This window comes from Homo sapiens, chromosome 16, assembly GCF_000001405.40.
Source record: "Homo sapiens chromosome 16, GRCh38.p14 Primary Assembly".
Classification (NCBI taxonomy): domain Eukaryota; kingdom Metazoa; phylum Chordata; class Mammalia; order Primates; family Hominidae; genus Homo; species Homo sapiens.
In genome coordinates, this window is record NC_000016.10 from 27,082,543 (window position 1) to 27,085,317 (window position 2,775).

Below are 2,775 nucleotides of genomic sequence, written 5' to 3' on the forward strand. Positions count from 1 at the left end.
GGCATGTGCCACCGTGCCAGGCTAATTTTGTATTTTTAGTAGAGACAGGGTTTCTCCATGTTGGTCAGGCTGGTCTCGAACTCCCAACCTCAAGTGATCAGCCCGCCTCGGTACGCTGCGACTCCCTAAGATTTCATCTCCATCCCAGCCAATCGGCAGTGGGCACCCACTGCATAGCCACCCCCACTTCTTCCCTCAAACTACCTCTGAAAAACCCCTAAACCAGGAACCTTCCAGGAGGTTGGTTTGAGTGATAACTCTGTCTCCCACGTGGTGTTGCTGGCCTCACATTAATTACACTCTTTCTCTACTGCAATGCTGTGAATTGATTTTGTTTGTGCAGAGGGCAGGAAGAACCCGTTGGGCGGTTACAATAGGTGAGAACAAGGCTTAGACTCATTTCCATTAATATATGACTCCAGGGCCAGTACATTCTCCACCTTGACCCAGTGGTGTTGCCTGAAATTTCAGTTGCATCATGAGAGAGGTAAAGTAGATACAAGAAATCACTTTCTGGAAACGTATTATTCTCAAAGGGCATTTGAAGCAAGGCATTGACTGAGGGGAGATATGAATGAGACAAAATTCTGGGGGTGAGGGTGGTGGACCTCAGAGAAGCCTAGAGCCCCTGGGAGTGACTATTCTCCTTTATTATGGGGGGAAGGGGTAGAAGACAATCCCCTTAAGCAGTGACAAACACTTCTTTGTGCCGCCTGTAACACCCAGCCCCAATCATAGACAGATGGTGGTGCTAGAGTCTGGCAGAATAAAACGACCCAGGCTTGTGAGTCAGACCATCCTGGCAAGGTGTCCCAGCTCAACCACCTCTGAGCCAGTCCCTTAAGCCCTCTGAGCCTCACTTTGCCATCTCTGTGAAATGGAGCAACACCAGCCCTGCCTCATCATCTGAGATAATGCCCGTGGCCAGCCTGGTACACAGTGAGAGGCCCACAAATGCCAGCCTGCCTTTCCCTTTGCTCAGCTGAGCCAGGGGCTGACATTTTCAGAAAAAGTCTTGCCAAAGCACAAGGAGAAGGGCAGAAAGGGAACAAACAGAGAAAATATTATTCTTTCTCAAGGCTGTTTCATTGCCACATAGTGGTGGCGGGTTTTCTACATTTTCTTTTTGCCTCATATATCCCAGACTTGGAACCAAAGAAGCCAGCAATCCAGAAACACCACCAGGCACAGACAAAAAAGCACCAACAAAAGCTGGTTCTTTCCAGCCAAAGGAATAGGAAAAGGACAACCGGGCAAGATTGCAAGGAATAAAATCCACTCAAAATATCTGGGACAAAAGTAGTAGCTTCCCGTGAGAACAGAGCATCTCAGGGGACATAGGCCCCGGGTCAGAACTGTTTCTGGTGGTGTCTCCATCCCTCTCTGAACTCCAATGCCTTACTTCCCTGCCCGTCCTGTGTCGGCTTCCGGCTCCTTTCTGCAAACTGGCGTTCCCTGCTTCTCCATGGGGCCACATGTGCACGGCAGGGCTCCCTGGGGTTCAAGTCTTTATTCAAGTGCTCAGGGGTCCGAACAGCATCATTCTGAAGTCTGATTGGCCCAGCTTACTGTCAGGGATGCCTCCTGGACCAATCAGACGGGCCGGGGGTGGGCTCACTGAGTATACAGGGCTCACTGGGTAAAGGTGGCTGCGGGGTCTATGTCCAGGGCAAGGGCAGTGCTTACGTGCAGTGGCTGGCCTCCAGGGTAACCCCCAATAACCCTGTCTCCAGGCGTTTGTGCCCTTATATGCCCCCCAGCCTTGCACGTAGGCTGGCCCAGGGATTCACTACTAATAAATAGAACATTGCAAAAGGGATGGGATGTCACTTCCAAGATGAGGTTAGAAAAGCCCCTGGCTTGCCTCATGCTGGCCTTCTCCTGTCTCTCTTGCTTTCTCTCCTGCTCACTTGAAGCCAGCTGCCATGTCAGGCGCTTTGCATTAAGAGTCCCACGTGGCCAGGAAACAATGTCTCAGGTCAACAGCCGCCTCTGGCTTGGGTCACTGGGCAGATGATGTAAGAAAGTCCAGAGGAGGGGTAGGGAGATCAGTGGACTCAGTCCTGGCCAGGTGGGGTAAGAACTGCCCAGAGGACCCCCAAGTGGAGATAGCAGAAACCATGGCACTCCTGATACCTTAAATTGGGTGCTCTGGAACAGATTCTGAGCCAGGGGGTTGGGTGAGGTTTATGGGGAATGTTGTCAGGAATGACTCCGCACAGAAGTGAGGAAGTCTGGGAGGGAGACGCTGGCCTGCAGTGTGACTGCACACGAGGCTGCTGTCAGTCCTGTGTTAAGTCCCAGAGTTGGACGGCAGTTCAGGGTTGCCCTGAATTGAGACTAAGGGCCCCAGCTTTTGTAGACCCACATCAGCCCAGGCTGCCTCCCAGAGTGGATACACCTGGGCAGAGCAGGTCCCTGTGGCCGAGGACAGTCTCCAGCTAGCAGTGCAGCTGATGGTCTGCAGCTTGTAGTCCCAGAAGCTCAGGAAGGTGGCCTGGAAGGAGCAATGCGGGTTAAGCCCCTGCCCTATTTCCAATCTGCATCCCATTCTGGCTCCCTGGAGGGCTGGGGGTGCTGTGAGGATCAGCCTGCAGCTCGACCCCTCACCTGCATTAGCCAGGCACCGAGATGATGGCGTGCTCTTTGCTCTCCCACTCTGCCCGCTGTGCCCACAGAGCGGCTCCTTCTAATGTATTTTTTATAAATAGAGCTGGGTTTTCCTTTGATGCAAACACCAGAAGCAATTAGAGTCACTTGTTACCACATTTTCTG

At 52.3% G+C, this 2,775-nt stretch overlaps 1 annotated feature.

The window, feature by feature from the left end:
• Positions 252 to 452: a silencer, noted in NCBI's record as "peak2534 fragment used in MPRA reporter construct". NCBI's record gives its function as "represses an SCP1 promoter by STARR-seq MPRAs in K562 erythroleukemia cells {active_cell/tissue: K562}" and the evidence as "EXISTENCE:reporter gene assay evidence [ECO:0000049][PMID:32103011]".